The sequence below is a fragment of the Homo sapiens genome, chromosome 2 (assembly GCF_000001405.40).
Source record: "Homo sapiens chromosome 2, GRCh38.p14 Primary Assembly".
Classification (NCBI taxonomy): domain Eukaryota; kingdom Metazoa; phylum Chordata; class Mammalia; order Primates; family Hominidae; genus Homo; species Homo sapiens.
The window spans coordinates 38,523,651-38,545,178 of NC_000002.12; the positions used below are offsets into that span (position 1 = coordinate 38,523,651).

Sequence of the window (21,528 nt, forward strand, 5' to 3'; positions counted from 1 at the left end):
TGACTCAGAGCCCATGCTCCGTCCATCCCACCATGTAGCCCTCTAAAGGGGAACAGCAATAGGATCTGTAATTCAGGAGGAAAAGGTGATATTCAGGTATTCTCTATTTCTGCAGCATGAGAGCTTTAGGTTAGATGCAAGTGGGGATTGTTCAAAACAAAAATGGATTGTCTCAGGAAGTTAAAGAACTCCCTTTAGGGGATGATTCGGGAGCATGACCCTGCCCTGAAGTGGAAGAATGCAAAGTGAAGGAGGGCCCTCCGCCATCTAGGGGCAGCCCGGAGGAAAACGCATGGATGTGGGGCCCGCACGTGGTTCTGGGGAGTCACAGGACAGGGAGAGCTGCTAAAGCCCCCCAACCCCACCAAACACACACACACAATCCAAAAGACTAACTGAAAATGTGGGGCCTTTTTTTAAACTTTCTTACTCAAAGGAATGAAGCTGTAGTTTACACCAGGTGTCAGATGGCTGTTTTTGGCTGTTAGACTTGTCTGCCCCTTCCCCGGGACACCCTTCCTCGCCCAAGATAAATGTTGTTGCTTATTCAGACTGCTTGGAGGAGGAGAAAGCCAAATATTTGTACCCAGGAGACTTTTTTTTTTTTTTTTGAGACAGTCTCGCTCTATTGCCCAGGCTGGAGTGCAGTGGTGCAATCTCAGCTCACTGCAACCTCCGCCTCCCAGGTTCAAGCAATTCTCCTGCCTCAGCCTCCAGAGTAGCTGGGACTACAGGCACACACCACCACACCCGGCTAATTTTTGTATTTTTAGTAGAGACAGGGTTTCACTATATTGGCCATGGCTGGTCTAAAATTCCTGACCCCACATGATCCACCATAGTCGGCCTCCAAAGTGCTGGGATTAACAGGTGTGAGCCGTCACATCCAGCCCAGACCTTCTCAGCAGAAGTCCATCCAACCCTAGGGGTTTGCACCCCGTGGGCCCTGCCAGGAGGGAGGCAGCTGTATGTTCCCATCTGTGGAGGGCTGGTGTGTCCTGCCACAGAGTCAGGGGTCCTCAGATCATGGGTGCCAGCCAAGAGTGGAATGATTAGGAGCAAAAGCAAATCTAAACCCTGATAGTCTCGTGGACTTCAGCATCCACAGGTGTCCCCATCTGCAAGCAGTTCACCACCAGAAATGAGCTCCCTGGGGAGGGGCTCTGTGTGTAATTGGCTCCTCTGAGAGGCTCCCTGCCCCCAGCAACTGCGGGCAATCTCACTTCCTAGGAGCAGAGAGCTTTGCTCCCCAGTCTGGGTGAACAGTGTCAGTTGCTCAGGGGATATCCTCTTTGACCACCTTGCCTACCCAGTGTCCCAGACACCCTCAGGTGTTCCTATTCACCTCCCCTACAACGCTGTCTTTGCATTCAGCCATCTCTGTTTTCCCCAAGCGTCTAAATCCTTTTCATTCTTCAAGGACTAACTGGAAGACACTTCCTCCCTGAAGCCTCCCAGGCTACCCAGCCCATGAAGATCTCTCTTTCCTGTGAATTTTTCACCTGTCTATACTGCTCATTTGGCCTTCTCTGAGACCTCAATTCTCCTAACCATTAGGTGCCTTGACTTTTTAGCTGTATCTCTGTACAGATGATTTCGCTTTTTTAAATATTTCCCCCAGCACAGAGCACACTCAGTCCAGTGAGCACAGCAGACATTCTGATTACCGGGCTGCCTGAGTATGAATTATGGACAAACTTCTTTAAAAAAATTTTTTAGTGGGCCTACATTATATCCTCTCAGACACAAATGTCCCAGCCTTCACAGGGTCTATCTGTTCATAGAGAGGAAAAAAATAAAACAGAAAACGGAAAGCATTCATAATGCCACCATCCAGAGTCAACCTGTGCATGCTAGGATATATCCTTCTGCGTGCATATGTGTGTGTGTGTGTGTGTGTGTGTAAACAGCCTCATTGAGATTATCATTCACACATATCATACAATTTGATAGCCACGTGGAAAACATCAAATTAGATCCATTCCTCACATTAGGCACCAGGGTAAAAGCTTTTGGATTAAGCACCAAATGGATCAAAATCTAAATGTAAAAATGAAATCATACAAATAATCCAAAAAAAAAAGAGTGGAATACTTTAAATGTAGAAAAGACAAAATCTTTTCTAATTATAACTCATAAAATCCCTAACTCATAAAAGTAATAAAATATTAACAAATTTGGTTCTGTAGCATTATAAAAACATTCTAAGTAAAATATCCAAGTAAAATCAAAAGGCAAATGAAACCTGGGAGAAAGAATTGCAAATTGTATCACAGACAGTTAAGGTTAGTTAACAGTTAAGGTTAATGAATTGTCAATATCCTTAACAATTAAAGAACTTCTCAGAAGAAAAATCCTAATAACCTGATAGAAAAATGGGCAAAATATGAACAGACATTTCACAGAAAAAGTAAAGCAAATGAAACTAATGAAAATATGTTTACTATTATTTTCCTAATAACAGAATTGCAAACTTAAAATACTGTATACTATGGTACCATTTCTTATCTTTCAGATAGGCAAAAGTCCAAAAGTTGGACAATATAGTTTATTGGTGAGGCTTTGGGGAAACTTGTCCCCTGTTGCTGATGGGAATTCAAAATCATACAATCTCTGTGGAGAAGGATTTTGTAATATCTGGCAAAATTACATGTGCTCTTTCCCTTTGATCCAGCAACCGCAGTTCTAGGAGTCTATTGCAAACATAAATACCAGAAATGTGAAGTGGCATATGCTCCAGTTATTCATTGCAGCGCTATTTATAATAGCAAAAACTGAAAACAACCCAAATGTCCATCAGTAGGCCACTGGTTGAATTCATTAAGGAGTATGCACACAGTGAATTGCTGTGCAGCAATAAAAGGAAGGAGGATAGATGGCCTCCAGAGTATAGTGGTAAGTAAGAAATACAAGGTCAGAAGAGTAAATACAGTATGCTAGCTTTTTTTGTTAGAAAGGGAGGAGGGGCCTGGCGCGGTGGCTCATGCCTGTAATCCCAGCACTTTGGGAGGCTGAGGCAGGCAGATCACCTAAGGTCAGGTGTTTGAGACCAGCCTGGCCAACAAGGCGAAACCCCATCTCTACTAAAAATACAAAAATTAGACAGGCATGGTGGCAGGCACCTGTAGTCCCAGCTACTCAGGAGGCTGAGGCAGGAGAATCACTTGAACCCAGGAGGAGGAGGTTGCAGTGAGCTGAGATGGCGCCACTGCACTCCAGCCTGGGCAACAGAACAAGACTCTGTCTCAAAAAAAAAAAAAAAAAAAAAAAAGCCACTCATGGTGGCTCACGCCTGTAATCCCAGCACTTTGGGAGGCCAAGGCAGGCAGATCACAAGGTCAGGAGTTTGAGACCACTAGGGCCAATATGATGAAACCGCATCTGTACTAAAAATACAAAAATTAGCCAGGCATGGTGGCAGGCACCTGCAGTCCCAGCTACTGGGAAGGCTGAGGCAGAAGAATTGCTTGAACCCAGGAGGCAGAGGTTGCAGTGAGCCAAGATTGTGCCATTGCACTGCAGCCTGGGCAACAGACCGAGACTCCATCTCAAAAACAAAAAAGTTAATTAGAAAATATTATCTCTAAGATGAGAAAGAGAATGACAGCTGTGACAGCTGAGTGGGGAAGGGGCAGACAGGGAGGCTAAATTCTTTGCTTATATTTCTTTTATAATTTTTACTTTCAGCATGTAAATATGTTAGAGTATTGAAAAACAAAATTAAACTTAGAAAAGGCAACCCCCTTCAATCAAAAACAAACTCAGCCAAATGATGGTTATAGTATAGCAAGTTGATTTTGTAATCACAGGGAGAAGAATTATTTTAAGTGACTTTAAAACGCAGTACTTTGACTGAACATCTCTCCAGGAGGATACAGCCTAGGGGCAAAGAGAACCACAGAGAAATCTGAAACCATATTTGTCAGTCTTCCTAGTTATTCTACCGGACAAATGGCCCAGTTTCTTCAACAAATAAAATGTACAAAAATTGAAAGGGAAACATTCTTTTATGGATTAGAAAAGACTTAAGAGACCTGTGACCAAACGCAAGGGTGAAAAGAGAATTTTGAAATAATCAAAGAAAATTGAACGGTGATATCAACTGATATTAAGGAAGTGTTAATTTTGAGTGTGATTTTATTTAATTTCATTATAGTTCATTGTATTATTATGGTTCTGATTAATTTATATTACGGTTTATTTAATTGAGTAGTGTGGTTATGGGTTTTTTTTTTTCCTGTTATGAGATTTTTTTCCCCCTTTTGTCTATGGTATATTTATTTATTTCTAATTTTATTTTGAGTTGTTTGTTGTTGTTTTTTAAAAATTGTGCCTTTAAGTGAGATTCCCAGGAATCAGCAACAGAAGCTCAGTGGTGACTAATGCTCTAGATGTCCCAGGGCTCTAAGTTCTACGTGGAATACCTAAGTCAACAGTGAATTTTCAGAAGGGGCAAGTAAAAAATGACAGCCTTAGGACGACGGCAGCGGCGGCCCAGCAGGCTCCGCGCATGGGTCCGCGGTGGCTTGGGGTCCGCCCGCGGGCTGCGGTGCGAGCTGGCAGCCGGCTCCCCTCCTCCCCCGCCGGCCGCCGCCGCTGTGATTGGGCGAAAGATGGCGCTGGGCGGATGGAAATCCTAATGACAGTCTCCAAATTCGCCTCCATCTGTACCATGAAGTGGTGAATCATATCGGAAAGATGCTTTAAAAGCAGATTCTCTACTGCACGCTGAGGAACAGTACAAAAAATGGCTGAAATCAGGTGGACATAAAATCGACAGTATTAAAGAAATCATATTGAAGGATGAATCATTGAAGACTCCATTTCCCAACTGAATGATTGTTCTTTCTCACAGTTTACATTTTAGGAGAGCATTGGTATTAAATGGACTATATTAAAATGATTTTCGGGAAAAAAAAAAAAAGAAATGACAGTCTTAAAGGCAACGAACTTATAACAAATATTCTGTTGGATCAAGTTGATTGAAGCAGGAAAACTTTCTTGGCATGAAAAATCACACCATCAGAGGCCAAGAGCACAGGCTCCCGAGTTCCAATTCCAGCTCTCTCACTTCCTACTCTCTGGCCTTGGGCCCGTTACTTAGCCTCCCTGTGCCTCAGTTTTTCTATCGACAAAAGGAAAATGGGTAGAAAGAAAACCTATCTCATAGAGCTGTTGTGGGGAATAATTAAGTTAAAGACATGTAAAGTGCTTAGAACAGTGACTGGCACATATGAAGCACAATATTATTGAACATAATAAATCTGATTTTTTAGCATTTAATTTTTAGAAAAAATTGACCAGTCATGTATATTGCTCCTTTTAGTTTTTTGCCCCTTTCTTTTTCGTTTTTCTTTTTTAAAAGACAGAGTCTTGCTCTGTCGCCCAGGCTGGTGTGCAGTGGTGTGATCACGGCTCACCACAGCCTCAAACTCCTGGGATCAAGCGATCCTCCCGCCTCCTGAATAGCTAAGACTACTGGTGTGCACTGTCACACCCAGCAAATTTTTTTTGGGGGGGGTGGTAAATACGGGGGTCTCACATGTTGCCCAGGCTGTTCTTGAACTCCTGGCCTCAAGCGATCCTCCTGCCTCGGCCTACTTTTACACCTTAAACTAGTGTACCACGTAAACATGCCAATGGGGGAAAGACGACACAATCTACAGTGATGCTCCCTCTTCTAGCGACTCCGGGGGTGCAAACTGGGGCCTACGGAGTGGAGGAGCACAGGCCGCCCTGAGGGCCGACCAGGCTTGGTGCCAAGTGACCTCACGATGGCCTCCCCCGGGAAGCCTCACTCCTCCCTTGGTCCAGATCAGGAGTCCTTCTTTGCCTTTTTTCCACGGTGGGTAGCTACTCCTGGAGGGCACATTCATCACAGTAAAGTAAATGAAATTCCCATAGTTCTCCTCTCCCCTGCAGAGGAACGCACGTTGAGGGTAGGGCTCTGTTTCACTCTCCCTGGTAATCCCCAGCACTGCACCCAGCTCCACAGCGCTTCAGATCCACTTGTCAAAGTGAACAGAACTGGGGGCCAGGGGACAGCCTGTATGTGACAGACCCGCTTAAAGGACCTAGTGCTTGCAGAGAGAGGAACCGTCAGAGGAGGCGGCAGGAGCGAAGAGGGAGCCACAGGCAAACTCCTAGTCTGCATTTCTTTCTTTCTTTCTTTTTTTTTTTTTTTTTTTGAGACAGAATCTCGCTCTGTCGCCCAGGCTGGAGTGCAGTGGCACAATCTCGTGCGGAGGCACAATCTCCGCCTCCAGGCTTCAAGTGATTCTCCTGCCTCACCCTCTTGAGTAGCTGGGATTACAGGCACATGCCACCAGGCCCAGCTAATTTTTGTATTTTTAGTAGAGACGGGGTTTCACCATGTTGTCCAGGCTGGTCTTGAACTCCTGAACTCAAGTATCAGCCCGCCTCAGCCTCCCAAAGTGCTGGGATTAAAGGCATGAGCCACCACGCCTGGCCTTTTGCTTTTGGGAGACAAGGTCTCACTCTGTTCCCTAGGCTGGAGTGCAGTGGCTGGGACACGACTCACTGCAACCTTAACCTCCCTGGCTCAAGCGATCCTCTCACCTCAGCACCCCTGAGTAGCTGGGACTACAAGACACATGCCCCCATGCCCTGCTAATTTTTGTATTCTTTGTAGAAATGGGGTTTCACTATGTTGTCCAGGCTGGTCTTGAACCTCTGGGCTCAAGTGATCCACCCGCCTCAGCCCCTCAAAGTTCTGGAATTACAGGCATGACCCAACACACCCAGCCCTACTCTGAGTTTGTACTTGGGGTCCACCTTGTCCAGTAACTTAAGTTCCACCTCCTCAAAAAGATGCTTGCCTAATCATCTTCACTGTATGTTCCTTGCCTCATTCCACAAGCCTTTACTGAGAAGCCCCCTGAAATACAATCTCGCCCCAACAAAACTTCAGAATGATAAAAGAGAGGAGCCTCATCAAAGAACATAATCAACAGAGTGAAAAGGCAACCTAAGGAACAGGAGAAAATATTCACAAATCATAAACCTGATCAGGGGCTAATATCCAGAATATATAAAGAATTTCTACAACTCAACAACAAAGAAACACAAATAACTCAGTGAAAAAACGGGCAAATGACTTGAATAGACATTTCTCCAAAGAAGATATACAAGTGGCCAACACGCACAGGAAAAGATGCTCAACGTCACTAATCATTAGGGAAATGCAAATCAAAACCACAATGAGTTATCACCTTATACTCACTAGGATGGCTATTATCCAAAAAATAAAAAATAAAAACCAAAAGAAACAGTAAATCACAAGTGTTGGTGAGAATGTGGAGAAATAAGAACCCTTGTGCACTCTTGGTGGGAATGTAAATGGTGCAACCACAATGGAAAACAGTGTGGAGTTTCCTCCAATAATTAAAAATAGAATTATCAATTCCACTTACAGGTATATACTCAAAAAAATTGAAAGCAGGATCTCAAAGAGATATTTGCACACCCATGTTTATAGTGCAGTATTCACAATAGCCAAGAGGTAGAAGCAACCTCAGTGTCCATCAGCAGATGATTAAACAAAATGTGGTGTACACATACAATGGAATATTATTCAGCCTTTAAAAAGAAGGAAATTCTGACCAGGCGTGGTAGCTCACATCTGTAATCCCAGCACTTTGGGAGGCCGAGGCAGGCAGATCACTTGAGGCCAGGAGTACGAAACCAGCCTGGTCAATATGGTGAAACCCCATGTCTACCAAAGTTCAAAAAAAAAAAAAAAATTAGCTGGGTGTGGTGGCGCATGCCTGTAATCCCAGCTACTCAGGAGGCTGAGACATGAGAATCACTTGAACTCAGGAAGCGGAGGTTGCAATGAGCCGAGATCACACCACTGCACTCCAGCCTGGGTGACAGAGTGAGACTATATCAAAAAAAAAAAAAAAAGAAGAAATGTTTGAGACTGTAAATTTTATGTTATGTGTTTTGTTTTTTGTTGTCATTGTTGTTTTTTAGATGCCCAGGCTAGGGTGCAGTAGCGCAATCTCAGCTCACTGCAACCTCTGCCTCCCGGGTTCAAGCAATTATCGTGCCTCAGCCTCCCGAGTAGCTGGGATTACAGGCACATGCCACCACACCTGGCTAATTTTTGTATTTCTAGTAGAGATGGGGTTTCACCATGTTGGCCAGGCTGGTCTCAAACTCCTTACCTCAAGTGATCTGCCTGCCTCAGCCTCCCAAAGTGTTGGGATGACAGGCGTGAGCCACCTCGCCCAGGCTGTGTTATGTGTTTTTAGCACAATTTTTTTTAAGAGAAAAGGAGATGCAAAAATAATTCTAGCTGGGCACGGTCGCTCCCGCCTGTAATCCCAGCACTTTGGGAGGCCAAGGTGGGTGGATCATCTGAGGTCAGGAGTTCGAGACCAGCTTGGCCAACATGGTGAAACCTCATCTCTACTAAAAATACAAAAATTAGCTGGGCATGGTGGCAGGTGCCTGTAGTCCCAGCTACTCAGAAGGCTAAGGCAGGAAAATCACTTGAACTTGGGAGGCAGAGGTTGCAGTGAGCTGAGATCATGCCACTGTATCCCAGCCTGGGTGACAGAGCAAGACTCCATCTAAAAAAAAAAAAAAAAAAATTCTAAATAGTTGATTGAATAATCTCAACTACTTGGGGATAAAACATGATTTTTCTCCTAATGTAATTGCCCCCAACTAATCCAGACTGACCATCCTTTTTTTTTTTCTCAAATAGAGGGTTTCTTAATCACATCTTTGCCACCTTCCATAGCTTTCTAGCCACCTTTGATTATTTCCGATTTAAGACTCAGTCCTTTGCATCCTGAAGCTTCAAGTCTCATCAACTCCCTGTCTACCCATGCAGACTGGGTCTGTCTGTGACTCTAGCTTAGGCTTGATCTCTTTACCCATCATCTTCTCCCCTCTGTAGAGCCAGCCCTCCAGTGTGTGCTGGTGCAGGAAGAGAGAGAGGCAAAGGGCAAGTGTCTCCTCTCAGCACAGCAAGTTTGCATGGATCCATCCTGCACGCCCTCAGGAGCTGAGAACTCAAGGCAGCAGTTCTGGGCCCTCTCTGCCAGGCAGTATATCCCTTCCCCACTATCTCCCTCCCATCCTCTTCTCCACAGCCCTAGGGCAGATTGACAAGCCCGAAGGCCAAGCAAACAACCATCTGGGAGCACAACTCTCCTTACAAACACCTCTAGTTTTCCTTATGATTCTCTTAGGTCCCCACCCCATTCCTTGGCTTCAAGAAAGAGAGTGAATAACCCCTCTCCCCAAGACCAGTCCACCTCACCCTCTCCTTTGTCAACCCTCAGAGCTTGAATGGGGAATCATGGAACCAGTTCGGACTCCCCCTATAAGGCAAGGGGAGCTTGGCAGGCTCCAGCTTTTGGGGGCTTACTGGTGTCTCTCGGAATGGAGAGACCTTTCGTTCTCACCTTTAGACCCTCTTTCAAGCTAGTGGTGTCAGAGGAGGGAGAGATCACTTTCAACTTTCAGCGACAGGGAATCAGAGAAAACCTTTTTGGAGAGGGAACATTTGAACTGGGCCTCAAAGGCTAGGTCAGATTTGGCAAAGTGAAGATGAATGGTCAGGTGAGAGAGAGGGAAGGCAGAGGCGAAGGCTCAGACACAAGGAGTTTCGTGGCACGCAGGCGTACCAGTTAGCTACGACAGACATGCGTGCAGGAGAGTGGAGAAAGGAAGTGAAAGCATGCCCAGTGTTTCACGTTGCCTTTGGCTTGGTCTGAGCTGTCTGTCCCGTGATGCTTTGAGGAGGGTGTAGGCAGCTGTGCAGCCATTCTCAGGACCTGTATTTGCATTTGCACAGGCCAGTGAAGCTGAGAGTACTGAAGTTCACTGATGCTGGCCAGGAGCTGTTTGGAATGACTGCCAATCTTGAAAGTAGAGTCCGTGTATCTCAAGACATAAAATTAGCAAAATTCTTCTGCAGCCAATCCCATTTTCTTGCAGTCTTCATGCAGAAGCACCAGCTTCTCTGAGCATTTGAATCACTCCACACAGCTCCTTCTATCCTGAATGACACTGCCCAAAATACACTGAAGGCCTGTCCAGCACCCTGAAAATTCCACGGCTACACAACATGAGGAAGCCGAGTCAGGGGAACAGGGGGCTTCAGGTTAGCTGTGGCCACTCACGTGCTCTGTGATTTTGGACAAGTCAGTCTCTGAACCTCAAATTCATCAGAAATGCAGGGGTGATACTAGCTGCCCTAGCATAGGATTAAATGAGGGAGGTAATGTGCATGAATACGTTGAAAAGTGTCAGCCGGGCGTGGTGACTCATGCCTGTAATCCCAGCACTTTAGAAGGCTGAGGCCAGTGGATCGCTTAAGACCAAGAATTAGAGACCAGCCTGGCCAACATGGTGAAACCCCATCTCTACTAAAAGCACAAAAATTAACCAGGCATGGTGCTGCGTGCCTGTAGTCCCAGCTACTTGGGAGGTCGAGGCTTGAGGATTGTTTGAGCCCAGGAGGTGGAGGTTGTAGTGAGCCAAGATCACAACACTGCACTCCTGCACTCCTGGGTGACAGAGTGAGACTCTGTCTCAACAACAACAGCAACAACAATAAAGTAGTGACATTGATGTGTATCTTACATGATGAATGCAGTTTCCACTCCTCTCAAGACCCCAGAGTATAGTGCATAGGGAAGCAGAAAGCATTTGTGTTCCCAGGGGGGAGGCTGGCTGTGCAGGGAGGACATGATCAATAACACTGCCAGCTTAAAATAAGCATCAGTGTCACCAAAACGCTGCTTCCAAACCAACCCCTGATGTTCTAGGTCCACCATTCCTCTGTCCCACCTCCCTGCTTTACCTCTTTTTTTTTCTTTTGTTTTTTTTAGACGAAGTCTCACTCTGTCACCTAGGCTGGAGTGCAGTGGTGTGATATTGGCTCACTGCAACCTCCGCCTCCCGAATTCAAGCAATTCTCCTGCCTCAGCCTCCCGAGTAGCTGGGATTACAGACGCCTGCCACCATGCCCGGCTAGTTTTTGTATTTTTAGTAGAGACAGGGTTTCACCAGGTTGACCAGGCTGGTCTTGAACTGCTGGTCTCAACTGATCCGCCCACCTCGGCTTCCCAAAGTGCTGGGATTACAGGCATGAGCCACTGTGCCCGGCCTTTCCTCTGATTTCTATGGCACCTATCACCATGGTATGCAGGTACTCACATCAAATCTGTTTTTAAGTTCAAAACAGAGCCATATGTGGGAAGACGCATTTCTCTTCTGAAGCCTTATCTCTGAAGCTGAGCTTGGAGTGAAGTGACAGGCGGAACCGACTCCTTGGAGGATGGAATCTTGAGGTTTTATGTGGGAGCAGAAGAGAAGCAAGCACCAAATATCTATCAAATGCCCACAGAGGGAAACACTGTAGTAGCTGCCTAGAGATTCAGTCCTGCTCAAGTTTCCCTGCTCAGATCTCAGGCGCAATTTTGAGAAATGTTCTTCTTCCTCAGTGGATGACCTCACCCTTTATGGGGAGGCGTGCCCATACGCACAATAACACAGTACTCATAAAGTCCAAGAGAGGCCGGTCCAGGCCTTGGCCAGGGAAGCATCCATGGACTTGGGCGTTCGTTGCAGAATGTTCAGACAGGTCTGGATGAGGGGTGAGGCCCTGCCTTGGAGGGGCTGCCCTCCCTCTGTGGCACGGAAGCCCTGCTGCCTGTGACAGGAGGCGACTGCACCTCACCCGCGGCCTGTATGCTGCAGGACCCAGCGAAGAGCTTCCTTAGCTTGCAGCTGTGCAGACACTAGGAAAGGGAGCACCTACCAGGGAGATTTGCCTTCTTGGTCCGGTAGCAAATGCAGTCCCGCCGGCCCACCTGGTACAGGTAGGACGTTCCGCAGGCCTTCCAGATCTCCTTGGCAGGTTTATGGGCGAGAGAAAGCGGTTCCCAGCCTCCTGCCCTGATGCGGCTGCACCTTCTGGACCACCGTGAACACTCTGCCCCCTGCCAGGCCCCCAAAATACTCTTCTGTCTCTACAGTTGTGCCACCTTTCCCCAGCACCAGGGAGCAGCTCGGCAGGACCAGGCTCTGGGGGTCAGCACATGCGTTCTTCACAAGCGTAAGAGGGCTGTCGTGAGGGAAAAAAAAATGGCATTATATGACGTCATTCCAGCTTTCATACCCTTTCTGGAAATAAGTGATGATATAAAGAAATAGACATAGATTATGTACACACATACATGAAGGGTAAGTACTTGGAAATGTTAAAGAGTTCGTTTTAAAAGTCCTTAGGCAGCACCCCTTTCTCAAGTTAATTCCCACTTGATCAAAGGTGGAGCTGCGGGCTCCGAGGAGGCGCGGTCAGGGTGGCAGGCCTGGGCTGCGCGGACCGCGAGCGAGCCTCCTGGGTCTCCCTCCTTAGCGGAGAAGATCCTCCAGGCTAAGGTCCAAGGCCCATCTCCCTTGGGGTTGTGGCCGCCCACCTCCTCCCCGCCACCCTGGGCTTTGGCTTTGTCCTCAACCACGCCCCGGGAGTGCGCGGAGCGGTCGCAGTTCTGTTAGCCAGGGTTGCGTTCCCACCGCGAAGGCCCGGGCGCGCGCTGCTGTGGATCGAGTCTGGGGCTCCGGCCACCAGGTGGCGCCACACGGCTACCTGCGCGCCGCTCTGAGGCGGTCGGATCGCCGCGGTGCAAAGGACCCAAGACCGGGGGTAACCGGTCACCCGAGCCGACCCACCGCCCGCACTGCCGAGGCTCAGGCGCCCCAGTTCGGTGCCAAGAGGCACGCCCCGGGGCCAACCTGGACAGGTAGCTTCAGCAAAATTGCCGGACAGTTAAAAAAAAAAAAGTTTCCACCCCACCCCCCACTCCCAAATCAATTCAAAAATAAAAATTAAACTGTGGGCTGGGCGCGTCTGAAACCCCGTCTCTACAAAAAATACAAAAATTAGCCGGGCTTGGTGGCGTGCACCTGTAATCCCAGCTACTCAAGAGGCCGAGGCAGGAGAATCGCTTGAACCTGGGAGCGGAGGTTGCAGTGAGCCGAGATCACACCGCTCCACTCCGGCCTGGGCAACAGAGCAAGACTCCGTCTCAAAAAAAAAAAAAAAAAAAAAAAAAGTTAAACTGTGGTGGGGAAAGTTGTTGGCGACAATACAGACCCGCATGGATACAGGCAGCGGGGAGCATGAGTTCTGGAGCCAAAATTGCTGAGTTCAAATCCTGTTTAATGACCTTGGGTGCGTTATTTAACCCCGTATATAACCCCATTACCTCATCTGCACATGCAAATAATTTACTTAGAACTCACGTCATGAATTGTTGACAGGAATTAAATGAGTTGATACACCATATATATTTATACGTGTGTGTTTTACATATTTAATGTAAGTGCATATAAATGTATGTATGCATATAATCATATGCATGTATAATATACAAAATTATGTACATATATAACATATATGCCTAGTACATAGTAAGCACCAGTGTTAGCTATATTTTATGCATTTATATATTTATTCGTTATGCAAGTTCTATGAATTATTAATTTTTAAAAACATTTTCACTCAAAAGAAAGACACTATTGGGGTTTAACCTTTTTTTTTTTTTTTAATTTATTTTTGAGATGGAGTATCTCTCTTTCCCCCGGGCTGGAGGACAGTGGCATGATCTCGGCTCACTGCAAACTCCGTGTTCTGGTTTCAAGCAATTCTCCTGCCTCAGCCTTCCAACTAGCTGGGATTACAGGCGCCCGCCACCATGCCCAGCTAATTTCTGTATTTTTAGTAGAGATGGGGTTTCACCGCGTTGGCCAGGCCGGTCTTGAACTCCTGACCTTGTGATCCACCCGCCTAGGCCACTCAAAGTGCTGGGATTACAGGTGTGAGCCACAGCACCCGGCCTTTTTTTTTTGAGATGGAGTTTCACTCTTGTTGCCGAGGCTGCAGTCTCCCGGGTTCAAGCGATTCTCCTGCCTCAGCCTCCCGAGTGGCTGGGATTACAGGTGCCTGCCACCATGCCCAGCTAATTTTTTGTATTTTTAGTAGAGACAGGGTTTCACTATGTTGGCCAGGCTGGTCTTGAACTCCAGACCTCAGATGATCCACCTGCCTCAGCCTGCCAAAGTGCTGGGATTACAGGCGTTAGCCACCGCTCCCGGCCTGTTAACTTTTTATATGGAAATTTTCAAACATTTACAAAAGTTGAGAAAACAGTATAATAAACCCACATGGGCACATCACGCAGTTTCAATAATTAACACATTGTCAATTCCGTTTTATCTATACCCCAGGACCCCTCTTCCACTCAGCTAGGCTATGTTAAAGCAAATCTGAGATTACCTATAATTTCATTTGTAAATACTTGACGATTATGAAGTATTTTTTAAAGCTCAATGTTTGATACTTCCTTCATGCACAATGTTATATTCTTCAGTCCATAGATTTCCCATGACACTGGAAATCTTTTCCAAACCAGCATTTGACACAGAAGTTGGAACTGTATATTGAATCAGTTATGAAAAATTTGGAGCAGTGATTTATTTGCCTGAAAAGCATTTCCCCTTCTGAAGAAATATGTTCTCCCTGAGGAAGGGAACATTACGCTCAGCCACTGGTTCTCTTCTAGTGAGAATCTACGGGGTGTTCTTTTATCTGCAGTGACACATCCCAGGTTGAATGATCACTCCAGGGAAGGAGATTCTTGTAATTAGTCAGATTCCTGCACTCAGAGGAGGATCTATCCATTTTAAGAAGGAAATCACTTCTCCAGACACTTGAAGGCTCTAGGATATATGGCCAATACTGCAGGTGAACCACTGTCTACTCAAAGTGTCTTTACACCAGTGCCAAGTCCCATGCATACTAAAAATTTAAGCACATTTATTTCCTCAAGGAATGTTGTTAACATGTTAAATTATTTACTTAAGATACTAATACACACACATCCCTGCCTAATAATACATTAAGAGGCCTTTGAGACAGGAGAAAGACAGAAACCAGGGAAATAGTTGTTCTTATTCAACTGTATGATTTTTGGGGGGGTTTTGAGACAGAGTCTCACTCTATTGCCCAGGCTGGAGTGCAGTGGCACGATCTCAGCTCACTGCAACCTCCACCCCCCGGGTTCAAGCGATTCTCCTGCCTCAGCCTCCTGAGTAGCTGGGACTACAGGTGCACGCTACCATGCCCAGCTAATTTTTGTATTTTTAGTAGAGGCGGGGTTTCACCATTTTGGCCAGGATGGTCTCGATCTCTTGACCTCATGATCCACCCGCCTCGACCTCCCAAAGTGCTGGGATTACAGGTGTGAGCCACCGCACCTGGCCTTCCATGTTTTTACTGTTGCCTTCCCCCTTCTTGATGTTGCTGGTGTTAAGGTTTCCACATTTGATGTACCCCATCTCCATACCTCCCCATGGTCCTGTGTAAACCCCAAGTCTTCTAAAAAAGCCCCGTCTTTCCCTTCACTGAATTTCTGCCTCTACCACACAATTAGCACTAATGTACGTGGACATGCCCCCTAGAGGCTGAGCTTGCGTGAAGGGACCCAGGCACTTCTGGAGAGATGGGACCAGCCTAGAGGAGCTGACATGCATGAGGAGCCCAAGCAGCTCCAATTTTGTAACCACCCATTAAAGTGTGACAGGTGAGGGGGATGAAAGGCATTGCCCCTTCCTGAAGAACTAGGACACTGAGGGGACTTTGGGAGTCTAGGGAACATGATGCCATTTTGTACTCTGGCAGAGCCCCAAGCACAAACCGCACCCCCTTCAGGGGGGTTACGTGCCTGAGTGTCATGGGAGGCCACTCCCTCCCAGGGCTTCTCCAGCAGCAGGTGAGCCAAGGAGGAAAAACAGGGTGGGCGAAAAGGCCTTGAAATCACTGGATGAGTTTTACAGGGAACCTGAGCATACCGCAGAGGAGACATAGGTTATAACCATAATGTGATCCAGCATACAACCACAGACTGGGGAGGCTGAGAAAACAAAGGTTATGCTTTTTTTATTTTACAAAAGCACTCTTAAAAATTACAATACACAAGCCAGATATGGTGGCTCATGCCTGTAGTCCGAACTACTAGGGAGGCTGAGGCAGGAGGATTGCTTGAGCCCAGGAGTTCAAGGCTGCAGTGAGCCAAAATCGCACCACTGCACTCCAGCCTGGGCAAAAAAAAAAAAAAAAAAATTATAATACACACTCATAACAATTTAAATAAACTTAATTATAGAAAGCTAATATATTATATATAATAAAAATATATAAAAATATATCTCATATATAATATTGACACATATTTTATAATATATTATCATATATAATATATATATAATGTATATATTTTTTCTCCTCCCCTGTCCAATTATACTCTCTTAAAGTAACCAGTATTAGCATGCTGGTGTATATATCATTCCATATTTTTTCTACGCTTACACAAGCACTGAATCACCTGTTGAGGTCTCATTTATGCTTTTAACAAAAACATGGTCATATTTTTCATTATAATTTACCACTTGTTTATGTTTACTTAATATGTCTTCTACACCTTCCCAAGTCAATACATATAAATGTGGTTCATTCTACTTGATGATTGATTGCATGGTATTCCATAGAACAGATGTACTAGAATGTATTCAATGAACCCATCACTAATCATGGGTTTTGGTTATAGCTCATCAGCTTTGTTAATTGTTTCATCTGGGCTAGTCCTGTTTTAATTGTAATCTCCTAAATAACAAAGGCCATACCGTAAACACAAACTTACTTCTCAGAACTTCGTCGTTGCCTACATATGTCACACATTTAACATGACGTGAATATCCCTTTAATTTTGGAAATGCACATAATTTCTTCTCATTTGTTAAAAGGAAGACAGTTCTTAGGATGATAGGCTTATATTTGGCACGTTTACTGAGCAGGAGGAGATAATTTTTTAAATTTCATAATCCCATATGGTCTGATTTTTCTCCATATGTCAACCTCCTTCCCAACAGGTGCGTCATACTTTCCCACAGCACTACTCTTGTATCTCTACAGAAATCATATAAACTCTACCCCCATACCATAAAATGATTTAAGTTTCAGAGTGAGACTGCCTAATACAACACACTCATTTTAAAGATGAACAAAGCTAAGCATTCATAACTTAGCTACCTAGCAGAGGAGCCAAGGCTGGAACCTATCCAGGGCTGTCTCCACTACAGGACACAGCCGCACCAGGGCTGGGGAATGGCTGGGGCGCAGCACATAGGCGACAGTATTTTTGTTTGTATAAATTATAAAGTAGGTCGTTAATTTTTCTCAAAGACTTAACAGGTAGCTGATGGGTGCCACTTGCTAACCACCTGTTTGAAGAAGGAACTCTTGCTGCTGGACCTCAGGTCTACAGCTTGTTTTTCCCCAGAGGCTGCTCTTTATCCAGCTTGTGGTTTTCTCTGCATCCAGCAGCCAACAGAGTTGTGAATGCCCCTCTTTACTTGCATTCCCACACCATCCCTGGCATGCCAGTGTGCCCTGGCTTGGAGTTGAGGCTGCTGACTATCTAGTTATATAAAGGGAAAATCCTTCAGGCATAGCCAGAGGAAGCCTGTCAAGGGTGGACACAGATTTGTGGGGCCTAAACTTACAAAGTTTTTGAGACCATCTTTAATGGAAAACAATAGAAAAATGTCTTATTTTTGCCATTTATAAAAGAAACATATGCACACATTGCTAGGTCCTCTGCCTGGTGTCTTAGAAAGGTCTAGTCCCTGACAACTGAAGGGTGCTGAAGCTTAATTTCCTTTATCTTCAGGGCACAACTTCCCCTGGGCCTTATATGGAGTCAGTAGGGACACACCTGGGGCACCCTTTGATCCTTCACATGTAGATGGACAGAGCTGCTCAGAACCCTCCACGAGGTTATGCACACAGTAGCCCAAAGTCCAAGAGTTCCGGGACAGTCCCTGTTTTCAAATATTTAATTATGTATCAAACGATGCATCTTGACTTTTCAAAAAATATAAGTGACAAGGTTACAGAATAGAAGTACCAAAGAAAAACAAAAAAAAAGCAAGCAAAACAAAACAAAACAAAACCAACACCCCAAAATGCATACAAATCAGGATGGAATTACCAATTGTTCCCTGTGGATTTTTCCATTCCCATCTCAGAATGGAAAGAGCAAGCCCAGGACGGACAGTAATGGCACCCAGCAGCTGCAGAGTGCAAAAGTTCCCACCTGCTGAGAAAACAGCAGGAATCTTTAGAAGGAAATTCTCTTCCCTTATTAGGTAGCAGTAATTATGCTGCCAAGAAAAATCTTGCCTTCATAGACTTATGTTGCATAAGAAATAAAGTTTAGCTGGAATGGACAAGTTGAGTTCAAAAAACTACTGAAGAATCTCCTTCTACTCCCTGTCCTCAGCTTTCCATTCCATAGTAACTAGACCCGAGATTTCAGAGCACAGTATTGAAGCTGCTGTGCTGCATAAGTATCTCACACCCAAAGACTCAGGCAACTATTCCACAGTTTTCTTTTTGTTTTTTGTTTTTTGTTTTTTTGAGACAGAGTCTCACTCTGTCACCCAGGCTGGAGTGCAGTGGCGCGATCTCGACTCACTGCAACCTCCGCCTCATGGGTTCAAGCAATTCTCCTGTCTCAGCCTCCCAAGTAGCTGAGATTACAGACCCCCACCACAATGCCTGGCTAATTTTTGTATTTTTAGTTGAGACGGGGTTTCACCATGTTGGTCAGGCTGGTCTCAAACTCCTGACCTCAAGTTATCCGCCCACCTCTGCCTCTCAAAGTGCTGAGATTACATGCATGAGCCACCACGCCCAGCCAGTTCCACAGACTTCTAAGGGGCTATCAGGGAACAAATGTGTAGTAAAAACTGTTCACCAAGTGTTTATGAATCATCCAAGAAGGTCAGGATAGGTTTTTGTTTTGCTTTACGGGAGACATCCTGAATCTGAAAGGCAGAAGACACCTATCTGGCAGGTCCAGGGTTAGCACAATGTATTCACTGCCCGTTCAAGAATAGTAACAATGATCATAATAACAGTCATAACTATTGTTTGTTGAGACTATGTGCTTTAAATGCATTATCTCACTTAATCCTCATACCAACTTTGTCAATATTCATATTTCACCTACAAGAAAATAGACTTAGTGATGTGAAGAGACAATGTCATACAGCACACAGTGCTAAAGTTGATAATCAGACCCAACTCTATCAAACTCTAAAGGCCATTTATTTAACCACCGTGAAAGAAAATAAAATCTCAGGACCCCGTTTCATGATGCCAAAAGGAAAACATTAAGCTGAAAGCTGAGTCATGGCCAGAAATTGCCTTTCTCTTTGTTCCTAAGCAGACAGCTACAGATAAAAGGCCGGATGTCTCCACAGTCAGCTACTCTATGTTCACCTTATCAGTGATCAGTGCTGATTTACTGAGTGGGAGACGACTACATAATTGTCTGTTCTCCTACTTGCTCCTTTTCTCTTGCAACATGTGGATTCAGTCATGTGACCACATCCTCCCTCTTTCTCTTCCAGCCTGCTTTTCCCCTTTAAATACTGAAGGCTTCAAAGTGATCTTTGAAGAAAAGCCCCGACCACATGCTGTTTCTGTGGTATCTGTGTTCCTTTCTTCCGGCCATGTCCTTAACCTTGGCAAAATAAACTGCTAAGTTGATTGAGATCTGTCTCTGATACTTTTTGATTTATACCACTATACTTTCCAGTCTTTTTTCTTTTTTCTTTTTTTTTTTTTTTTTTTGAGACGGAGTTTCACTCGTTGCCCAGGCTGGAGTGCAGTGGCGCAATCTCGGCTCACCACAACCTCTGCCTCCCAGGTTGAAGCAATTCTCCTGCCTCAGCCTCCCAAGTAGCTGGGATTACAGGCATCTGCCACCACGCCTGGCTAATTTTATTTTATTTTTTTAGTAGAGACGGGGTTTCTGCATGTTGGTCAGGCTGGTCTCGAATTCCTGACCTCAGGTGATCCACCCGCCTCGGCCTCCCAAAGTGCTGGGATTACAGGCGTGAGCCACTGCGTACAGCCTCCAGTCTTCTTTAATAGGCAACAGATGGATTTCTAAGCAGTTACCTCAAGAAAAAAAAAAAAAAAGAAAAGGAAAATTCCGTGAAACAAATCCACAAGGATTAGCCAATCCCTACTTAGTGATGATGCCTACAGAAAGTGCTGTTGGCCAGGCTCCATTCCCTCACCAGTCCCAGCAGCAGAATCACCTGAGTACTTACAAAAAAGGCAGATTCTTGGGCCCACCCCCAGATCTATTGAATCAGAATCTCTGAGAATAGAGCCTGGGAATCCTCATTTAACATGACCCACCATACCCCAACTCCCAAGCAATTCCCCTTCACACTGAAGTTTCAGAAGAGCTGCTTGAAGGATGAGCATTCCTCCCAGCTTGCCTGGAAGATAAGTTTATACCTGTTATCCTGGCATATCAATAGTGCCTTGCTTTACCCCCATAAGTGTTCCAGTTTAGACAACCAACTTGCATGTATATATTTCTATATTTTTTGTACCAAAATAAACCATACTGTACATGCTATTTTATAACCTGAAATTTTTATGCAATGATTTCTACTTTTCCATATAAACTTTTATCTTTTCTCATACCAGTCTATATTCAGATGTTCTCAGTCATCTTTAAAACATTCTCTACATCTGGTTTAATCAGTCTACGCATTGCGTTATAATAGTTTCTCTTCTAAACTAGTTAAGTTTCTCTATCTCTTCCTCCCCACCCCACATCCCCACTTCTCTCTCTCTCTCTCTCTCTTTATCTCACACTGACTTGTTAATAGACTAGGCCAGATGTATTATAGGCTGGGCCATGTTTTGGATTTTTCTGGACACTTCTTTATGGTGTTAGTTTGGTCCCTTGTTTTCTGTATTTCTTATCAACTGAAAATTAGATTAAAATTTTTATTCTTATCAAGTTTGAGCCAAGTTTGGCTATACATCACAAGTAATGTTGTTTATTTCATCTTATATCACATCAGGAACATGTACTATCTTGTTGACCCACAATTAGTGACACTGAGATCAACCACTGAATGGAGTGACTTTTTGATGCAATGACAGGACACAGTTACATTCTTTTCCTTGCAACTGGGTAAAAATCTGTATGGTATCACTTTGGCTCTATATAAATATTCAATTTCCCATCAACCTAACGCTTTCAACAATTTGATACTTGTTGCCTGAGTTCAGGGTGTTGCAAAATGTCAGTTCACTAGTTCTATCAATCTTCTACATGATTAGCAGACCTTCTTCAGTAGAAAAGAGATTTTTCTTCATTATCTGGGACCATTTAGTTACCATGAAAAGCAGTTCCTATTGGAAAGGCAAGTTAAATGTTTCTTTTTTGTTGTTGTTGTTGTTGTTGTTGAGAGAGTCTCAGTCTGTCTCCATGGCTAGAGTGCAGTGGTGCAATCTCAGCTCACTGCAACCACAGCCTCTCGAGTAGCTGGGATTACAGGCATGCACCACCACACCCGGCTAATTTTTGTATGTTTAGTAGAGATGGG

The 21,528-nt window shown here is 45.0% G+C and overlaps 6 annotated features.

The window, feature by feature from the left end:
* Positions 4,522–4,631: a silencer, noted in NCBI's record as "silent region_11374". NCBI's record gives its function as "represses an Ori minimal core promoter by ATAC-STARR-seq in GM12878 lymphoblastoid cells {active_cell/tissue: GM12878}" and the evidence as "EXISTENCE:reporter gene assay evidence [ECO:0000049][PMID:35858748]".
* Positions 9,942–10,071: an enhancer, noted in NCBI's record as "active region_15608". NCBI's record gives its function as "activates an Ori minimal core promoter by ATAC-STARR-seq in GM12878 lymphoblastoid cells {active_cell/tissue: GM12878}" and the evidence as "EXISTENCE:reporter gene assay evidence [ECO:0000049][PMID:35858748]".
* Positions 12,313–12,923: an enhancer, noted in NCBI's record as "H3K4me1 hESC enhancer chr2:38763105-38763715 (GRCh37/hg19 assembly coordinates)". NCBI's record gives its function as "activates a minimal SCP1, AML or CMV promoter by ChIP-STARR-seq in naive H9 embryonic stem cells {active_cell/tissue: H9 hESC(naive)}" and the evidence as "EXISTENCE:reporter gene assay evidence [ECO:0000049][PMID:30033119]".
* Positions 12,507–12,566: a silencer, noted in NCBI's record as "silent region_11375". NCBI's record gives its function as "represses an Ori minimal core promoter by ATAC-STARR-seq in GM12878 lymphoblastoid cells {active_cell/tissue: GM12878}" and the evidence as "EXISTENCE:reporter gene assay evidence [ECO:0000049][PMID:35858748]".
* Positions 17,677–17,971: a silencer, noted in NCBI's record as "tiled region #10245; K562 Repressive non-DNase unmatched - State 19:H4K20". NCBI's record gives its function as "represses a minimal TATA promoter and a strong SV40 promoter by Sharpr-MPRA in K562 cells {active_cell/tissue: K562}" and the evidence as "EXISTENCE:reporter gene assay evidence [ECO:0000049][PMID:27701403]".
* Positions 17,677–17,971: an enhancer, noted in NCBI's record as "tiled region #10245; HepG2 Activating DNase matched - State 5:Enh". NCBI's record gives its function as "activates a minimal TATA promoter and a strong SV40 promoter by Sharpr-MPRA in HepG2 cells {active_cell/tissue: HepG2}" and the evidence as "EXISTENCE:reporter gene assay evidence [ECO:0000049][PMID:27701403]".